This window comes from Homo sapiens, chromosome 17 (genome assembly GCF_000001405.40).
Source record: "Homo sapiens chromosome 17, GRCh38.p14 Primary Assembly".
In the NCBI taxonomy this organism is placed as follows: domain Eukaryota; kingdom Metazoa; phylum Chordata; class Mammalia; order Primates; family Hominidae; genus Homo; species Homo sapiens.
In genome coordinates, this window is record NC_000017.11 from 16,159,932 (window position 1) to 16,180,830 (window position 20,899).

The following is a 20,899-nucleotide window of genomic DNA, read 5'->3' on the forward strand; positions in this document are numbered from 1 at the left end:
CGATTCTCCTGCCTCAGCCTCCTGAGTAGCTGGGATTACAGGCGGCCACCACCATGCCCGGCTAATTTCTGTATTTTTTTAGTAGAGACAGGGATTCACCATGTTGGTCAGGCTGGTCTCGAACTCCTGACCTCAGGTGATCCACCTGCCTTGGCCTCTCAAAGTGCCGGGATTACCGCTGTGAGCCACCACGCCTGGCTCCCTTAACTCAATATTAAGCAAACACCTAAACTACTCATAAATAAGGTAGGGATAATAATACTACCTATCATACAGCTTTTTGAAAGGACTAAATGACTTAACGTATATATAAAGCATATTACAATTATAAATTGTAAATATTACCGAGTATTACTAGTGAAGCAAGCAGGGACTTGTCTGCTTTGTCCGCTGCTTTTTTTCAACACCTAAACCAGTGCCTGACACCTAGTTAATGCTTTAAAAATATCCACACGAATAAATTTAGCATAAGTCCACTACCTAAGATGATAAAAGAAAAATTAGGTAAAGACAAATTAAGGTTAAGTCTAGTATAGTCTATAGGCAAAAATTATCTATACTACTAAATAAGACTGATAGGCCGGGTGCAATGGCTCACACCTGTAATCCCAGCACTTTGGGAGGCCAAGACGGTAGATCACTTGAGCCCAGGAGTTCAAGACCAGCCTAGCCAACATGGTGAAATTCCTGCTTTATTAAAGATACAAAAAATTAGCTCGGTGTAGTGGCGCAAGCCTGTAACCCCAGCTACTCAGGAGGCCGAGGCAGAAGAATCGCTTGAACCCAGGAGGTGGAGGTTGCAGTGAGCCAAGATCGCACCATTGCACTCCAGCCTGGGCGACAGGGGGAGACTCCATCTCAAAAAAACTAAATAAATAAGAGTGACAGTCAAAGCTCCCAGTACTGTAAATCAGACCATGCCCAAATGAAAGCATAAAAATCTACCAAGAGGGAGTTTCTGAACCTATTCTGGCTCAGGAGGCTGCCCAATTCGAAAAAAATTTAAAAAAATAATAATAAATAGCCACCAGGAGAGTCTAAACTGTAAGGAACACTTCCACTTTGGAATTATAAGTACTCTTGCAGTCTGTTATCTGTACAAGCAAAAGAAAGATATTTGAAATTCTGAGATCATTTTTATGGTAAAGGGTTCTTCAATGATTCCCTTTCTTTCCTGCTTAGAGGGCCTTCTTTTAGAATCCTTGTTAAGGAATAAACAAATCACACTTTGTTCTTAGTACCCAAATAGCCCTGGGACAAAACCATTATAATTCAAAGGCTAAAAGCAAACACACACAGACACACACACACACACACACACACACACACACACACACACACTCCCTCACCTGTTTTTGTTTTTGTTTTTGTTTTTGAGATGGAGTCTCACTCTTTTTGCCCAGGCTGGAGTGCAGTGGCACAATCTCAGCTCACTGCAACCTCTGCCTCCCGGGTTCAGGTGATTCTCCTACCTCAGTCTCCCAAGTAGAGTAGCTGGGATTACAGGCACCCGCCACCACACTCAGCTAATTTTTTGTATTTTTAGTAGAGGTGGGGTTTTGCCATGTTGGCCAGGCTGGTCTGGAACTCCTGACCTCAGGTGATCTGGCCTGCCTCGGCCTCCCAAAGTGCTGGGATTACAGGTTGAGCCACCGAGCCTGGCCCTGTTTGTTCTTTTACATTAACTTTACAATGTATTTGCCATGTTTTAAAAATAAATTTAATTGAAATTTTATTGAAATTGTGTGAGACATGATTTAGTCCAAGATGAACACAGAACATTATTATCACTGTTTCCATCCAGCTATGGCATATTTCTTTGTTTTCTCTAGTTGTCTTTTATATCTCTCAATAAAATGTGTGGCTCTGGTACATTTCATAATAATCATACATTATATTTCATTATTTCTAATTATTATAGTGGATTGCATGTACATTTACTATGTACCAGATATTATGCAATATATTCATTATCTCAATTCATAAAACAATCATGTGATTTAGTTGGTGTTATTACTAGATTATTACCATTGTACAAGTAAAGAAAATAAAAGACAAAAGAAAGAAAAGAAAAGAGACTCAGCGAAATCAAACCAGTAAAGACTTAATTAGAATTGTTGGGCATATAATAAAAATTTAATACAACTCAATGAAAGCAAAAAAAAAATTTTTTTTAATGACCAGGCAGATTTGAGAAGGAGCCAAACAGAAATTCCAGCAATAAAAACATAGTTGTTGAAATTGAAGACAGATTTGACAGCAGATTACATATAATTGAAAAGGAAAATGTAAACTGGAAGACAGGCTGAAGAAATTGCTCAGAATGAAGCCCAAAGAAGTTAAAAATAAGAAAGAGAAACAAGAGACACGGAAGACAAGAGTGATAAGATGTTACAACTAACAGGAATTTCATAAGTAGAACAAGAAACTGTTAGAAAGGTTTTCTAAAAAAGATAATGGCTTGGAATTTTCCCAAAGTGATGAAAAACTCCACCCTTCATATTCAGGAATATCAGGTTGGACAGATTTAAAAGGAAAAAAAAAAAACACCTAAATGTATCATCATAAAAATAACAGAACCCCGAAGAAAAGAATATACTGAAAACAACCTGAGAGAAAATTCACACTATCCATGAAAGAATACGGATTTAGACCAAGAGCTAATGTCTTAAAAATGGAAGCAAGAAGACAATGTACTAAGAAAAAATAATCACATACCAAATTAATAAATATATCTTTTAATAAACAGGCCAAATATAAGACAATATTTAAGTCATAAAAACCAAACAAATACTGAATTTGCCAACTAAGAGACCTTCACTAAAGGAAATTCTAAGAGATGTTCTTCAGTAGAAGGGTGTTCCCTTCGATGGAAGACTTGAGTTGCGAGAAGAAATGGTGAGCACATAAGAAGACAAATATGTGGGTAAACATAAATGAACACTGACTATACAACATGTAGTTTCCAGTGGATTAAGAATAAGATGAGAAGCAAAACTATAAAACTTCTAAAAAATAATATAGTAAAACTACCTTAATAACCCCAGGGGGTTTTCATATAAAACCTAAACAAATTCTGTTCACCAAAAAAAATACTATCAGGATCAAAGACTCAAATATAAGAGGTAAAACTATAAAATGTGTAGAAGAAAACACAGGTATAAATCTGTGACCGCGAATTAGGCAATGGGTCTTAGATAAAACACCAAATGTAAGAGTGACAAAAGGAAAAAACAAACTGGACTTCAACAAAATTCAAAACTTTTATACATCAAAGGATACTACCAGGAAAGTGAAAAGAACCCACAGAATGAGAGAAAATATCTATTAAGTCATACATCTGATGAGGAACTAATGTCCAGAATATATAAAGAATTCTTAGAATAACAAAAAGACAACCGAATTAAATAATGAGCAAACAATCTAAATGAACATTTATCTAAAAAGATATACAAATGGCCAATCAGCACATGAAAAGATGCTCAACATCATTAGTCATTAAGGATATGCAAATGAAAACTACAACTAGATACCACTTCACATCTCCAAGGATGGCTATATTTTTTTAAAAAAGGAAAATAACAGATGTTGGCAAGGAGGTAGGAAAAAATGGAACCTCCATATACTGCTGGTAAGAATATAAAATGGTACAGAGACTTTGGAAAACAGTTTTGAAGTTTTTCAAAAATTTAAACATAGATTTACCATATGCCCACTCCTAGATATATAAAGAAAATTGTAAAAATACGACCACACAAAAACGAGTACATGAATCTCATCACAATACATCACTAATCATAGTCAAAAAATGAACACAACTCAAATATCCATCAACTAATGAATGGATAAACAAAACATAGTAAACTCACACAATGGGATTCAGGCATATAAAGTAATGAAGTGCTGACACAAGATACGACATGGATGAATCAGGACAACATGCTAAATAAATGAAGCCAAACACAAAAGGTCACATATGATTCTGTTTTTTCTGATATTTGGCACATGCTAGTCCATAGAGACAGAGAATAGACTAGTGGCTGCCAGGGGTTGGGGAAAAGGGGAAATGGGGAGTAACTGCTAGTAGGTATGGAGTTTCTTTTTGAAATGATAAAAATGTTCTAGAATTAGAGAGTGGTGATAGCTGTACAACTTTATGAATACATTAAAAGCACTTAAAGTGCCTATAGTCCCAGCTACTCGGGAGGCTGTTGCAGGAGAATCACTTGAACCTGGGAGACAGAGGTTGCAGTGAGCCAAGATCGCACCACTGCACTCCAGCCTCGGTGACAGAGTGAGACTCCAAATCTGGAAAAAAAAAAAAAAATGCACTAAAATGCACTTAGTCTACACTTAGAGTGAATACTGGGCTAAAAGTGAAGTGACAGGCCAAAAACTAGGCAAATCTTCTATACACATATCTGACAAGGGACTTCAGGAAATCCTAAAAATTTCAATGACAAAATAGGAGACTATAGACAAAACGCTTGAACAATGCACATAAGGAACCCAAATAACCCATAAACAAATGAAAATAAGCTCAGCCTCCTTCCAAACCACAGAGAAGACTATTTCATATCCAACTGAAAAAACGATATCAAGCAAAGGCAAAAATGTGCACAAACCGGTACTCACATAAGCTGCCAGTAGGAATGTAAAATGGTGTTACTTCTTAGCAAATTTAGTATCATCTATTAAATAGTTCACTGTACATAATCTTGGGCCAAGCACTGCCATTCCTGGGCACATGCCCTAGAAAATCTCTACATGTGAACCAAAAACCAGCACCATTGTATGGAATAGAAAAAAAAAAATCAAAAATAGAATGGACAAACAAATTTCACTCTCTACAATCATATAATCAGACAGTGCAGCAAGGAAAATGAATGAATGTAAGAAAACCACAACAGTAGCAAAAAAACAGCAAGTCCGAATATATAAGGCATGATTCCTTTTATGTAAAGTTTCAAAATATGGAAAACTCAAAAATATCTACTGTAGGGAGACAAACATACATTCTTAGAATATATTAAGCAAAGACATTTACTTGTTTCTTTTTCAGTTTAAGGATCTGCTGTTCTACTTTTGCAATTTCTCGATCTACACGATCCATACTCTGTATTAACTCTTCCTTTGAGAGTTTTGAAGGTGAAGCATTTTGATCATCTCCACATGGTTGCCCCGAAATTGGAGAGGATGGAGCTTCATGTTTGCCTCCGAATGCTGGATCCTTTAGAGAATAAAACCAAGAAAAACAATTTATTTCTCACTAATAGAGTCCAGATTGCCTTAAATGAAAAAGTCAGTTTTAAACCACAGCAGAGCCATGTGTACTATTTGTCTAATGAAACTTTTAGTAGTAACTTTCATATTCACATACATGCAAATTCTCACCTCACTTTTATAGTTTAGATATACCATGTACTATTTTGAAGACCCTAAAAGCTATACAAAGTGAGGTGAGTTAGTGTTGATCAGCCTCTAGTATAACAATACTGAAATTATAGAGAATTTATAGGTAAATAATGCAATCATGACAAAGGAAGATACCAACTTCTCAGCCATTTCCTTGCAACGGCTCTTCAAATGGTCTGAACAACTGGCTGGGAAATAGTATTATTCCAGGTAAAACCTGTGTGTCCACCCAACTTAACAACTATAACATGGCCAAGTGTTCCTATCAAAAGTTTTTAGGCTTTCCAAACCAAAACTGAGGTACACAAGTCAGAGAAGTGACCTAGGAACTTCAGTTGCTACTATCTCTAGGCCTACTTTCATAAAGCCCACACTACAGCATACATAACATTTCCTTAGCCAAAAACATCCCATTGTGCCTCCAAATCAGCAGAGCTGTAGCAGAATGAAAGCCGCTTCACCCAAAATCCACTACCCTCCAACACACATCCACACACACCCTATTAATTTCCAGTCTGCTGTAAAGACATAAGCAATATTATAAAACAGATAAATTTTAGAGTACTAATTTTACTTAGACTATGAGAAACCTACAATGAGGGTAGTTCACAGGATTACAGAACCCTAAAATGTATTAAATAATGATTAAGGAACTGTGAAAAGTCAATAGTTCTGAGTCAAGAATGCATACAAGAGATAACTGGACAGTTGCTTCAAAACACCTTAGTACAGATATTTCAGCTAATATACACTGATGAAAAGCCTCATATTCTCTAATAGTATGCGCTGAATCTAAGAGGCCTTCTGGGAAAATAAGATTATGGCTATACCCTAAAACCTGTACAATTCTGTAAGGAAAACACCAATAAAAGCAATAACAACTCTAATAGACTTAATAGAATTAAAGCTCCAGTATCCTTTGCATCTGGCATACAGTCAATCTTTGGCAGCTTTAAGCCCTAGAGTTTATGATTCCTCTCTTAAGATGTAAATCCTTGAGGTCATTGGCTTCCAAAATAAACCAGTATGTTTCATCTAAATAAAATATCAGTGGCCAGGCACAGTGGCTCATGCCTGTAATCCCAGTACTTTGGGATGCTGACGCAGGCAGATCACAAGGTCAGGAGTTCCAGACCAGCCTAACCAACATGGTGAAACCCCGTCTCTACTAAAAAATACAAAAATTAGCTGGGCGTGGTGGCGGGCACCTGTAGTCCCAGTTACTCGGGAGGCTGAGGCAGGAAAATGGCTTGAACCCAGGAGGCAGAGGTTGCAGTGAGCTGAGATTGCACTACTGCATTCCAGCATGGGTGACAGAGCAAGACTCCATCTCAAAAAAAAAGAAAAAAAAATCAGATTTGGTGTATAACCATCTTTATCAACCTTTTTTTCTCCCCCTCCCTCCTTTATCAACATTAAAAAAAAAAATACAAGAAAATTTGTCTTCACATTGTCTTTTCAATGCTCGAATCTTCACTAACACTGTGAAAAGCACAACAGTTCTTAAATTCACTAAACCAGCTACTACTCGCACTAAATGAAAACTAAATGCAGAATGTTTACATATTTTTAAGTCTTCATGTGTTGTGAAGCCTTTCTCTTTCATTATGAGACAGCGTACTCCTGAGAACTTAGAAATGTTAACGCATAAAGAAAGATCTTTGGTGAACCACCAGGACTTTCATGATACATTAATATCATTCTCCCACTATATGCATATGAGCAAATTTGTGTTACAGAAACATATATAATAGCAAAAGAGATTATATTTTGATTCAGCAGACTTCAAAAGTGCTCCTCAGGTGATTCTGATGCATGCCCAAAGAATTAATATTACAAATGAATATTTTCCACTGACTTCCTTTCTAAATATTAAATATTTAACAAGAAACCACATCCTCAAGTGCCTACTTACATAACAGGAATAAGATCAAAACAGACAAGATATCTGCCTTCATGAACCTTACAATCTTGGCTTGAAACAGCCAGATACCAATCCTGAAGAAAAAGAATTAGATTCTTACCTCATATCTTACATCAAAAAAAAAAGCCAAGTAATAGCAAACATTTATAAGAGGCTTATTAGCAAATCACAAAAAGCCTCAAGTTAAAAAAAAATAATAATAAAGGATTCACATTATCTTGGGTTCAGGAAGGCCAAAAGCAAAAGATATAAAAGACATTAGTTTTTAAAAAAGAAAGATTGATGGATAAAATAAAAAACTATCTTCCACTGGGCACGATGGCTCACACCTGTAATCCCAGCACTTTGGGAGGCCGAGGCGGGCAGATCACTAGAGGTCAGGAGTTCGAGACCAGCCTGGCCAACATGGTAAAACCCCATCTCTACTAAAACTACAAAAATCAGCCAGGTGTGGTGGTGCGAGCCTGTAATCCCAGCTACTTGGGAGGCTGAGGCAGGAGAATGGCTTGAACCCGGGAGGCGGAGGTTGCAGTGAGCATAGATGGCACCACTGCACTCCAACCTGGGTGATAGAAGAAGACTCCATCTCAAAAAAAAAAAAAAAAAAAACCACACACACAAAAACACAATCTTCTGCTTATCAAAACAGTAATAACAAATTAAAAAGGCAAACGATTAAATAGGAAAACCATTTGCAAAACATGCACTCTAACAACTCAATGTAAAATAAACCAACAGAAAAATGGACAACATATACGAAAAAACAATTTACAAAACAGGAAAAATAACCAATAAACAAATAAAAAAAGTTAAGTTTTACTAACAAATAATAAGTGTAAGTTAAAAACAATCATTCATCAAATTAACAATCTTTTTGTTAAACAATAGACATGTGGTGTCAGCAAGGATAAAAAAGAAGTGGATACCTTTATTTATTTTTATTTTTTGAGATGAAGTCTCACTCTTGTCCCCCAGGCTGGAGTGCAATGGCACAATCTCAGCTCACTGCAACCACCGCCTCCCAGGTTCAAGCGATTCTCTTGCCTCAGCCTCCCGAGTAGCTGGGATTACAGGCGCCTGCCACCACGTCCAGATAATTTTTGTATTTTTAGTAGAGATGGGGTTTCACCATGCTGGGCAGGTTGGTCTCGAACTCCTGACCTCTGGTGATCCGCCCGCCTCGGCCTCCCAAAGTGCTGGGATTACAGGCGTGAGCCACCGCGCCCAGCCAAGAAGTGGGTACCTTTATACACTGCTGTCAGGAGTTAAGAACTGGCCCTACTCTTTTGCAGGACAATCTGGAAATACCCACCGTACCTTAAAAATCAACCTGGTCTACAATTAATTATACTAAAAGAAATCTACCTTAAGGAAATAAGTAAGAATGTATACAAAAAAATCAACCTAAATAATGTATGGGCCAGCTGCAGTGGCTCACGCCTATAATCCCAGCATATTGGGAGGCCAAAGCGGGCAGATCACCTGAGGTCAGGAGTTCGAGACCAGCCTGGCCAACATGGTGAAACCTCGTCTCCACTAAAAATACAAAAATTAGCTGAACTTGGTGGCGTGCGCCTGTAGTCCCAGCTACTCGGGAGGCTGAGGCAGGAGAATTGCTGGGAGGTATAGGTTGCAGTGAGCCAAGATCACACCACTGCACTCCAGCCTGGGCAACAAAGTGAGACTCCGTCTCAAAAAAAAAAAAAAACAATGCATGTCACAACACCGTACTTCTGAACAAACAGGTAACCTAAATGTATGACAATTGATTAAATAATTTTATTTAATCAATGAACTTTATTTATGCATATGTGGAATACTAAGTAGCCACTAACAATACAGTTGTAAACCTATTGGCACAAAAAGAAGCTAAGCACGTATTTAAGCAAAAGTAAGTTAAACAGAATGTACAAAGGGGGCACATTAAAATATTCATACGGGCTGACTCTGGACACACTGCCTTATGGGTTAGCCCTGTTCCACAAGGAGCAGCAAAAAAACAACAACAACAACAAAAAACCCATAAAATTAAATAAAATTAAAATTAAAATAATACACATACAAATAGGGAAGAATCAACATGAAAATGTTAATAACTTTTAAATGGTAAACTGTAGGTAATTTTTTCTTTCAAGCTTATTTAACTCTTCTATAAATGATATACCTAGGCTTAACATTTAACAAAAAATCTAACAAATGTTAGTTCTTTTTAAATCCTTACTTCTGGAGGTGGGCAGTTGGGAGAGAATGGGGAGAGGGAGATGGAAGGAGAAGTATTAGTTAGTAGAAGTAGTCATGGTTTACACTTTAGGGGAAAAAAAGCAGGACTAGAGTCGGGGTCCTGGGTTAATTTCAACTCAGGAGTTACTAACCTAGGTCACTTAATTTTTCTGAACACCCAGTTTCTCAACTATAACATGGAAATGGGTCACACTACAACACAACACGTCCCATTTTAATGAATGAGTTTTTAAGACACTTTTCTGCTAAAAAACAAAATTCTATAGTTACAAATTACATTTGTGGTAATGTATTCAGCCATGGAAGATGACCTTTATTCACTATATTTTTAAATTTCTTTTTTTTAATGCAGCAGAACATTTCTTATAAACCCCACAGACTACTGTATGATAAAGATGATTCACATGATAAGGTGGGTCACAAAACACCTAGAAGCTTAGCTAATTTCTAGCTTACGGCAAAGAATTTTTCCCCATCCAACTTACTATTTTGAAAAATTTCAAATTTACTTAAAAGTTGAAGGAACAATATAATGGACACTCATTTATCCTTCATCTAGATTCACCAGTAGTTAACATTTTAACATATTTGCTTTCTGTGTGTGTGTGTGTGTGTGTGTGTGTGTGTATAACTTCATTTTGGCTGAACTATTTGAAAATAAATTGTAGATACATTTACTATCTTTTAAATTACTCTTCATTGCATAAAACTCAAAGAAAATGTGTGGGTACTTATTTATCTGGTATCAGGGAAGAAAGGGCAATTAGGCATAAAGGTTAATAAACACAGAAAAAAGATTTGATGGCAGTAAAAACATTTTAAACTTCAGTATGCTTTAAAAAAAGAAAAACTGAAACAAAAAGACACTGGGAAAAATATTAGCGTATGTTGGTAAAAAGGTTAACACTTTACTGTTAAGAGTTTTTAAAATTAATTTATTCTTTCTATGACAAATATTTATTCTGTATCTACTAAGTGTCAGGCACTTCCTAATCTGCAGAATTAATAATAAGCAAAGCAGAGTTGAAAAAGGTAAACATAGGCCCGGCACAGTGGCTCATGCCTGTAATCCCAGCACTTTGGGAGGCCGAGGTGGGCAGATCACGAGGTCAGGAGTTCAAGAGACCAGCCTGGCCAACACGGTGAAACCCTGTCTCTACTAAAAATACAAAAATTAGCTGGGCATGGTGGTGCGTCCCTGTAATCCCAGCTACTCGGGAGGCTGAAGCAGGAAAATTGCTTGAACCAGGACCCGGGAGGCGGAGATTGCAGTGAGCCAAGATCGCGCCACTGCACTCCAGCCTGGGGTACAGAGCGAGACTCCATCTCAAAAAAAAAAAAAAAGAAAAAGGTAAACATAGCAATAAAACAAGGACATACTACATGAGCAAACATTTCACAAAAGATGGGTAAATAAAAATAAGTGCATGGGGAAAGTTCTTAATAGAACTCGCATTGTTTGAAATGTCACAAAATATAGCTAAATATTAAAACTTATCTTTGTACAGCATGGCAACTATAGCTAATAATATGTATTATATATTTAAAAATTGCTACGAGTGGATTTTAAATGTTCTTACCACCAAAAAAAAACTATGTGAGGTGATGAATATGTTAATTAGCTTGATGTGTTTCCCAATGTATACATACATCAAAATATCACACTGTATAAATATCATCATAAATATAAATATCACCATAAATATACACAATTTTTATTCCACAATAAAACTGGGGGAGGGTCGTTATCTCCAAGTTACAGGATTACAGGTAACTTTTTTCCTCTTTATTTTCCCAGTTTTCTATAAGTATGTATTACTTACATAAATTAGGAACAATTTTCTTTTGTATAGAACTTATATGCACAATTCAACCTTACCTGGATGTGTTTTCTCCCATATAGCAGTTAATAAACTGCTACTAAATTTAAGGGACTTGTTTAAAATTTAATTAAGATTTAACAAAACTAGTAGTCTTGAGTACCTCTGACCACATTTTATAGCCAGCAAGCCAGTAAAAAAATGCTTGAGCATTATTTAATAGAAATTCTTCTTTATGGGAGCAGTCTTCTTGGACTGTTTTCACTTACCGAAAAGGCAAAAGTGCTCACTTTAGCAGTCTGGAGCACTCATCTGTGGTTTCTAGTTTTGTTTAACAAAATTTTTACTTTCCCATACCACTAACCTTTAGAGACTGGTGTAACTGGACTTTCTTTGAGGTGCTATGCATGAGTATAACTAAATAAACATTACAAACCTACAACTCTACAGGGTAAGAGAACAAATATTTACCTTCTTAGCATCTGCAGAAGCCCTCAGCCCTTCTGGCAGCGGGTGCACTAAAGGCAAAACCGCAGCACTGACACGCTGAAAATGAGAATCAGAAACCTGTTCCAGACGTGGTCGCTTCGATTCCAGTGAATCATGATCCACTGGGGATGGGCCTGGATGAAACGGTTCATAACTAGTTCTCCTTTCTTGAGGCCTAATACATACAAAGAAAATAAACACTTGAAAATTTGTAAGTGATGTACAACTCCCTGGTAACATCCCTGGTTAGACTTTGAAATAACAAATGAAAAAGTCATGCTTACATTCAAAGTGAATCCGTACCCCTTCTGTTCCCACCCCCAAAGAATATATACCTCACTATAGTACCATTAAACTTCTAGTCTAATTTTTAAAAAAGGTTTGAATTAGCTGGGCGTGGCAGTGGGCGCCTGTAATCCCAGCTACTCGGGAGGCTGAGGCAGGAGAATTGCTTGAACCTGGGAGGTGGAGGTTGCAGTGAGCTGAGATCATGCCACTGCACTCCAGCCTGGGCAACAATGTGAGACTCCGTCTTAAAACAAAAAAAAAAGGTTTGGGGGGAGGATTAAAAACTAATCTAGAAGTGAAAGACAAAACAGAACATTTGCAGAAAGTTTAGTTGCTGAAGAATATCTATAAACTAATATTTTTAAATGTTAAAATGCCATAATAATTAAATTTGGGATAATATAAACCAGAAGAGCCACCATTTTTCAACCAATAATAAAAACAAGCAAGAAATAAAAATCTCCCAGCTATTGCTACAAAGAAAGAGAAATGACTTCACTTATGAGGTACCATTCAGTCTTAAAGACAAGTCTCTTGAGGAGAAATCCAACATTGCTTCTAAAACATCATCCTGGCCCCAAAAACATGTATTCTGTCTAGCTTCCCTAAATACATGACTTGAAGATCAGAATCTTTCATTTCTTTACAGGATGTATTGTTGAGTCCTGCTCGTGAGTGCTCATTAAGTTGACTTTTCATTTTCTACCAGGTGTTTACAGAGGTGATATTGTATCTCATGGCCAACCTGTAAACTAATGCTTTGCAAAGCAATATTTCATTGAAAACAGAATTGCTGGGTTTCATATTGAGGACAGACAATGAAATGAATGCTAAATTCTTTTTTTGTTTGTTTATTTCTTTTTTGAGGCCCAGACTGGAGTGCCCCATCTCGGCTCACTGCAACCTCCACCTCCCGGATTCAAGTGATTCTCCTGCCTCAGCCTCCCCGGTAGCTGGGATTACAGGCGCGAGCCACCATGCCAGGCTAATTTTTGTAGAGATGAGGTCTTGCTATATTGCCTAGGCTGGTCTCGAACTCCTGAGCTAAGCAATCCACCTGCCTCAGCCTCCCAAAGTGCTGAGATTACAGGTGTGAGCCACCGCACCTGGCCTGAATGCTAAATTCTGTAAAATTATTATACTTCAAAATTTTAAATCTCATTCAACACATAGAATTCCATTATCTTAAAATTCAGAGTGACATCACAAAAAACTTCAGGAATGGGAAACTTCAGGAACAAGACAAAGATGACTGCATTCACCATTTATATTCAATATGGTATTGGAAATTACTTTCAGAGCACTAGGAAAGAAAAAGAAATAAAAGGTATCCAAATTTAAAAAGAAATAAGCATTTTTATTCAAGACAACATGATTCCATATGTGGCACCCTAAAGAATTGGCAAAAAAAAAACTATTAGAGCTAACAAATAAATACATCGAAGTTGGAGGATACAAAATCAACACACAAAACTCAGTTGTATTCTATACACTAGCATTAAACAATCCAAACATGAAACTTAAAAAACAATACATTTATGCTGGGTGCGGTGGCTCACACCTGTCATCCCAGCAGTTTGGGAGGCCGGGGCGTGTGGATCATCTGAGGTCAGGAGTTCGAGACCAGCCTGACCAACATGGAGAAAAACCCATCTCTACTAAAAAATACAAAATTAGTCAGACATGGTGGTGCTCGCCTGCAATCCCAGCTACTCGGGAGGCTGAGGCGGAAGAATCGCTTGAACCCAGGAGGCAGACGTTGAGGTGACCCGAGATCATGCCATTATACTCCTGCAGGGGCAACAAGAGCGAAACTCCATCTCAAAAAAAAAAAGCAATACATTTATAAGAGCACCCAAAAGAACATAGCTAGGAATAAATATGACCAAGGAGGCTTATGACTTTAAACACTGAAAACCACAAAACATTGCTCGAAGAAATAAAAGACTTAATACATAGTAAGAAATCTCAAATTCATATGTTGGAAGATAATGTCATTAAATGACAATACTACACAAAGCAACCTGTGGATTCAATGTAATCTCTATCAAATGCCATTGGCTTTTTTGCAGAAATAGAAAAACTCATCAGAAAATTCATATGGAATCTCAAAGGATTACAAACAGCCAAACAATCTTGGAAAAGAACAAAGTTGGAAAACTCACACTTCACCTTTTAAAGCTTACTACAAAGCTATTATAATCAAAAGATTCATCCTCCACTAAGGCCAGAGGTAATCTACCCAAGTAATGCCTTAGCTGGACTTCTGCCCTCAGTTGCCCCCTCAGCTAGAACATAACCTACAAAAGCATAATTTTCAAGTATTACATTTCATTTCCAGCAACTCTGCCTCTGAGATTTATCAAAGCCAGAAGGTGAGGCATACCATACCCAGTACTGGAGAAGAAACTAAGGTACCAAGGAACAGGACAACTCAGAAAACAATGAGTATGGAATGCTCTTTTTCTATCTAGAAATCAGACTACTTCCCATTTCAGCCTGCCAATCCTTTTTAGAAGAACAAATCTACTCAGCCATAAATAAATATATAATTTAATGTATAAAATCTCAGAAATTTAAATAAACTACGAAAATCTTTGCTAAGTACAATTTAATATTAGGAGTTCTGGTAGAACTAAGCATGAAATCTCCAATTTAAATTAATGTATTTGCCTTTTAAAATTAACACCAGTAGAATGGTATACTTTGAAAACGATCTGGTAGTTTCTCAAATAGTTAAATAAAATAGAGTTACCACATGACCCAGCAATTCCACTCCTAGGTATCTAACTAACAGAAAGGAAAATATACGTACAAACAAAAACTTGTACACGAATATTCACAGCAGAATTATTCATAATTGTCAAAAAGTAAAAATGATCCAAACACCCATCAGCTGATAAAAATAGATAAATAAACTGTGGTATAAAAAAAAAAAAACCTAACAGCAAATTTTCACATAAAGAAATCTTTGTAGGGCAAGATGCCGTGGCTCACGCCTGTAATCCCAAGACTTTGGGAGGCCGAGTAAGTGCATCACTTGAGGTCAGGAGTTCGAGACCAGCCTGACCAACAAGGTGAAAGCCCGTCTCTACAAAAAAATACAAATGTTAGGCGGGCGTGGTGGTGCGCGCATGTAGTCCCAGCTACTCGGGAAACTGAGGCAGGAGAATCGCTTGAACCCAGGCAGAGGTTGCAGTGAGTCAAGATCACGCCACTGCACAACACAACAGTCTGGGTGACAGAGCCAGACTCATTTGTCTTTTAAAAAAAAAAAAACTCTGTAGGCTTGCAGACTTTGTAAAGTTCCCCATTTTACTGACTTTTGTCATCTCGTAACACCATCTTTAAACATCTTTAAAACAAATTAAAATTACAAAACACATTTAAATAACTATACTTTATCATTCGAACTTTAAAGAATTTTAAAGCAGTCTGATTTCTTGCTAAAAGAGAATATTCCATACTCAATGTTTTTCTTAATTTTCCTGTGCCCTGGTTGCCGGATGTAGTGGCTCACACGTTTCCCATCACTTTAGGGGGCCAAGGCAGGAGGATCGCTTGATGCTGGGAGTTTGAGACCAGTCCAGGCAATATAGCAACTCTGTCTCTACAAAAATAAAAAATTTGTCAGGCACAATGCCATGCGCCTGTAATCTGAGCTACTCAGAAGACTGAGGCAGGAGGATCACTTGAACCCAGGAGTTTAGAGACTTTGTCTCTTTTAAAAAAAAAAAAAAAAAGATGGGTTTATGGCTAACTACCAATCCTCTTACCATGGCATCCATTCTTTGTTTGGCTGGATTCGGTCATCAAGAAATTCTTAGGCCAGGTGCGGTGGTTCACACCTGTAATCCCAGCACTTTGGGAGGTCAAGGTGGGTGGATCACCTGAGGTCAGGAGTTCGAGACCAGCCTGGCCAACATGGAGAAACCCCATCTCTACTAAAAATACAAAAAAATTAGCCAGGTATGGGGGCACATGCCCGTAATCCCAGCTACTTGGGAGGCTGAGGTAGGAGAATCACTTGAACCCAGGAAGCGGAGGTTGCAGTGAGCCGAGATCGCATCATTGCACTCCAGCCTGAACAACAAGAGCAAAACTCCATCTCAAAAAAAGAAAAAAGAAAAAAAAGAAATTCTTTCAGGTTTTTTGTTTTGTTTTGCTTTGTTTTGTTTGAAACAGAGTGTCACTCTGTCTCCCAGGCTAGAGTACAGTGGTGCGATCTCGCCTCACTGCCACCTCCACCTCCTGGGTTCAAGAGAGCCTCCTGCCTCAGACTCCAGAGTAGCTGGGATTATAGACGTGCGCCACCACTCCCAGTTAATTTTTATATTTTTAGTAGAGACAGGGTTTCGCCATGTTGGCCAGGCTGGTCTCGAACTCCTGACCTCAGGTGATATGCATGCCTCAGCCTCCCAAAGTGCTGGGACTGCAGGTGTGAGCCACCACGCCCGGCCTCTTTCAGTTTTAGATGCTATAATTGCTCAGTGCTTTCATGTCTAAGAAAATCTGCCTGTTGTTTTTATTGTTAAACTGTCTGGTATAATATTCTTGAATATCAATTTCTTTTACTCAGAACTTTGTAGCTACTGCTTCACTATTTTCTGTCACTCAATTCTGCTATGTAGAAGTTTGTAGCCTGACTCTTCCACCTTGTGGAGCATTTATTTTGTTTCCTGAATTCCTAGTTCTTTTACTTATCCTTGAAATTTAATTCCTCAACCATGATCTGTCTTGGTATGGATCATTCTTTCTGTATAAATTTTCCTGGAACAAGATATGTTTTATCAATCTGTAGAATCTATCAATTCTTCCTTAACTTTATGGGGAATTTCTGTATTATGAATATTATTACTGTTCCTTTACCAGGTTTTCCACCTCAAAAACATGTTCTTATAGTATACTGGATGATCTTTATTTGTCCTCCCTACAAGTTCTTTCTAATTGTCTTAATCTTTGTCCTTTTCTTCTGCACTCACTCTAATTATATCAAGACTTTGTTCTAAGACAAGGTTTACCTTAAGCCACATCTACTTTATTCCTTTTCTTTCTAATTTTATATCTTCAGGGCACTCAAATGTCTGAACTACATTTAGCCCATCTGGCTGTCTTATCATTTTGTTTTTGAATACTTCATTATTTAAGTTCTTTTATAGAAGAAATATAGAAATATAGAACTTATTTATATTATTAAGTTCTTTTATAGTGCATAGCACTTACGAGGCATGCTCTTTATGTTTCTTACACGTGGCGATTTTATTTTTGGCATACTATGTTGCTTTAATTTTCTTTTCCAGGAATATATTCGCCTCATTTGTGCCATTCCCCACCCTCCTGCTCAGGTACATTGTGGCAGCCTTTCTCTTTGGCGTGGGATAGTCTGGGTGGGTTCTCCTTGATTGTTCCCACTTTTTCTGGCATGTAGTCATCTTCTCTGCAAATGGAAGAATAGGTATGGCTTTCTAAATACTGTTCTATGGCCCGAGGGAACATGTAAGTGGGGCAAAGGAAGAAAAATCTTGGTTAGGGCTGTAACTGCCTCTGCTAAGGACTCTGGCCCCCTCTACCAGCCAGACATGTAGACCACTCCAGAGGGTTCTGGCTCATCACTTTACAGAATGGCACATCCCAACTGTCCTTTCTGCAGCTGTTGAGAAACCAGGATGGCATAATGGGAATTCTCAAGCAAACCATTCACCACCACCAATTGAAATTTTCTCCAATCAAAGAATATTCATGAGAAATCCTAGGATTTCACTAACTTACTTTCTTCGATACTGCTTTTTTTTAATTTTCTTTTTAAAAAACTCATGTTCCGCCAGGCACAGTGGCTCACGCCTGTAATCCCAGCATTTTGGGAGGCTGAGGCGGGCGGATCACCTGAGGTCAGGAGTTCGAGACTAGCCTGGCCAACATGGTGAAACCCCACCTCTACCAAAAATATAAAATTAGCCAGTCATGGAGGCAGGCATCTGTAATCCCAGCTACTCTAGAGGCTGAGGCATGAGAATCCCTTCAACCCGGGAGGCAGAGGTGAGCCAAGATTGCGCCACTGCACTCCAGTTTGGGCAAAAAGAGCAAAACTCTGTCTCAAAAAAATAAAATAGGCCAGTTGTGGTGGCTCATGCCTGTAATCCCAGCACTTTGGGAGGCTGAGGCAGGCAAATCCCAAGGTCAGGAGATTGAGACCATCCTGACTAACACAGTGAAACCCCATTTCTGCTAAAAATACAAAGAATCAGCCGGGCATGGTGGCATGAGCCTGTAGTCCCAGCTACTCGGGAGGCTAAGGCAGGAGAATTGCTTGAACCCAGGAGGCAGAGGTTGCAGTGAGCCGAGATCACGCCACTGCACTCCAGCCTGGGCAACAGAGCAAGACTCCGTCTCAAAAAAAAAAAAAAAAAAAAAAAGAATAGAATAAAATAAAATGAAATAAAATAAAAACTCATGTTCCTTGACTCATAAAACAATAATGCTACTTTAACAATAGAAAATAGGAGGCCAAGTCATTCAAGATACTTGTAATTCTTTCCGTGAATCCCACTTTTCTAAGTTTTTGACAATAGCTGTATGTCTTTTCTTATTTATAAAAGGGTAAATTTTTAGCCTGTTTGAAAAATATGTTTTTGTTCATTTTTTAGATATTAGGGGACAAGTAAGCTGAATTCTCTCTCCAAACTTAACCAAGAAATGTATTATATAATAATTTTAGGCTGGGAGTGGTGGCTCACGCCTATAATCCTAGCACTTTGGGAGGCCGATGCAGGTGGATCACCTGAGGTCAGGAGTTTGAGACCAGGTTGGCCAACACGGTGAGACCCTGCTTCTACTAAAACTACAAAAAAAGTTATTTTTTTTTTGTAGTGCCTGCAGTTCCAGCTAATCGGAGGCTGAGGCAGAAGAATCGTTTGAACATGAGAGGCAGAGGTTGCAGTGAGTCAAGATCATGTCACTGCACCCCAGCCTGTGCATCAGAGTGAGACTCCACCTCAAACAAAATAATATTATATTTCAAATCTTTGATCAACTTAAAACCTAAACAGTGAGCACATTTTTGAAATGGGAAATCAGGTACCTTATAAAATTGCTGAAATCAGAAAGGAAATTTATAAAGGTAATTATATTTCAAAATAACTTAGAATTCATATAAATAAAATAAAAATGAAAACGAAGAAATTACAACAGATGCCTCAGAAATAAAAAGGATCATAAGGAACTATATGAACCATTATATGTCAATAAATTGGATAACCTAGAGGAAATGGATAAATTCCTAGAAAAACACAACCTACCAAGATTGAGTTAAGCAGAAGTAGAAAGCCTGAACAAACGAACAACAAATGAAGAGGCTGAAGAAGTAATCAAAAACTTCTCAACAAAGAAAACTCCAGTATCTGAAGGCTTCATGGCAGAATTCTACTGAATAGTCAAAGAAAAATATATACCAACTCCTCCTAAACTCTTCCAAAAAATAGAGCTAGAGGGACTATTTCCCAACACATTATATGAGAGAAACTTAACTCAAAGGCATTTAAGTTGATATCTAAGTCAAGGACATCACAAGAAAACAAAACTAGAGGCCAATCTCTCTAATGAACACTGATGCAAAAATCCTCAATAAAGGCCGGGCGTGGTGGCTCACGCCTGTAATCCCAGCACTTTGGGAGGCCCAGGCGGGCGGATCACGAGGTCAGGAGATCGAGACCATCCTGGCTAACACAGTGAAACCGTGTCTCTACTAAAAGTACAAAAATTAGCCGGGCGTGAAGCCGGGAGGCAGAGCTTGCAGTGAGCCAAGATCGTGCCACTGCACTCCAGCCTGGGCAACAGAGCGAGACTCTGTCTCAAAAAAAAAAAAAAAAAAAAAACAAACCTCAATAAAATATTAACAAACTGAATTCAACAACACATCACGAAGATTACAAACCACTAGCAAGTGGGACATATCCCTGGCATGCAAGGCTGGTTTAACATACACAAATCAATCAATGGGATATATCATATTAAGAGAAGTGAACGGACATTTCTCCAAAGAAAACATAAAAATGGCCAAGAGATATATGAAATGGTGCTCAATATCACTAATCACAATGGAAATGCAAATTAAAACTACAATGAGATCTCACCTCACACCTGTAAGGATGGCTATTCTCCAAAAGACAACAAATGTTGGCGAGGGTATGGAGAAAAGGGAACCCTAGTATTTTGTTGGTGGGAATGTAGATTGTTATAGCCATTATAGAAAACAGTATGGAAGGCCCCAAAGAAATTAAAAATACAACTACTATAGACCCAGCAATCCCTCTTCTGGTTGTATACTCAAAAGGAATGAAATCACCACCTCATAAAGATATCTGGGGTGGGCTCAGTGGTTCATGCTTATAATCCTAGCACTTTGGGAGGCTGAGGCAGAAGGATCGCTTGAGGCCAGGAGTTGGAGACCAGCCTGGATATAGTGAGACCCTATCTCTACAAAAAATACAAAAATCAGCCAGGCACAGTGGCATGCACCTGTGGTGCCAGCTACCCGGGAGGCTGCAGTGGGAGGATCATTTGAGCCTGGGAGGTCCAGGCTGCAGTGAGCCATGATCATGCCACTGTACTCCAGCCTGAGTGGCAGAGCAAGACCCTATCTCAAAAAAAAAGAATAAAACAACAACCAGATACCTACACTCCCATATTCATGGCAGCATCATTCACAATAGTTCATATATAGAAA

General features: G+C 38.1%; 1 protein-coding gene across 53 annotated transcripts in view; it reads right to left on the reverse strand.

Moving 5' to 3' along the window:
- The window catches only part of NCOR1 (nuclear receptor corepressor 1), a 186,378-nt gene that overhangs the window by 130,775 nt on the left and 34,704 nt on the right, over positions 1-20,899 (reverse strand). For 52 of the 53 annotated variants that reach the window (NM_006311.4, XM_011524086.4, NM_001439115.1 and 49 more), the window contains 2 exons: positions 11,872-12,064; positions 5,048-5,230 (listed from right to left, as the gene is read on the reverse strand). In NM_006311.4, the coding sequence (NP_006302.2) occupies positions 5,048-5,230; positions 11,872-12,064 (376 nt within the window). The remainder of the gene's footprint in view (positions 1-5,047; positions 5,231-11,871; positions 12,065-20,899) is intronic. The other variant, NM_001190438.2, reaches the window with a different exon arrangement.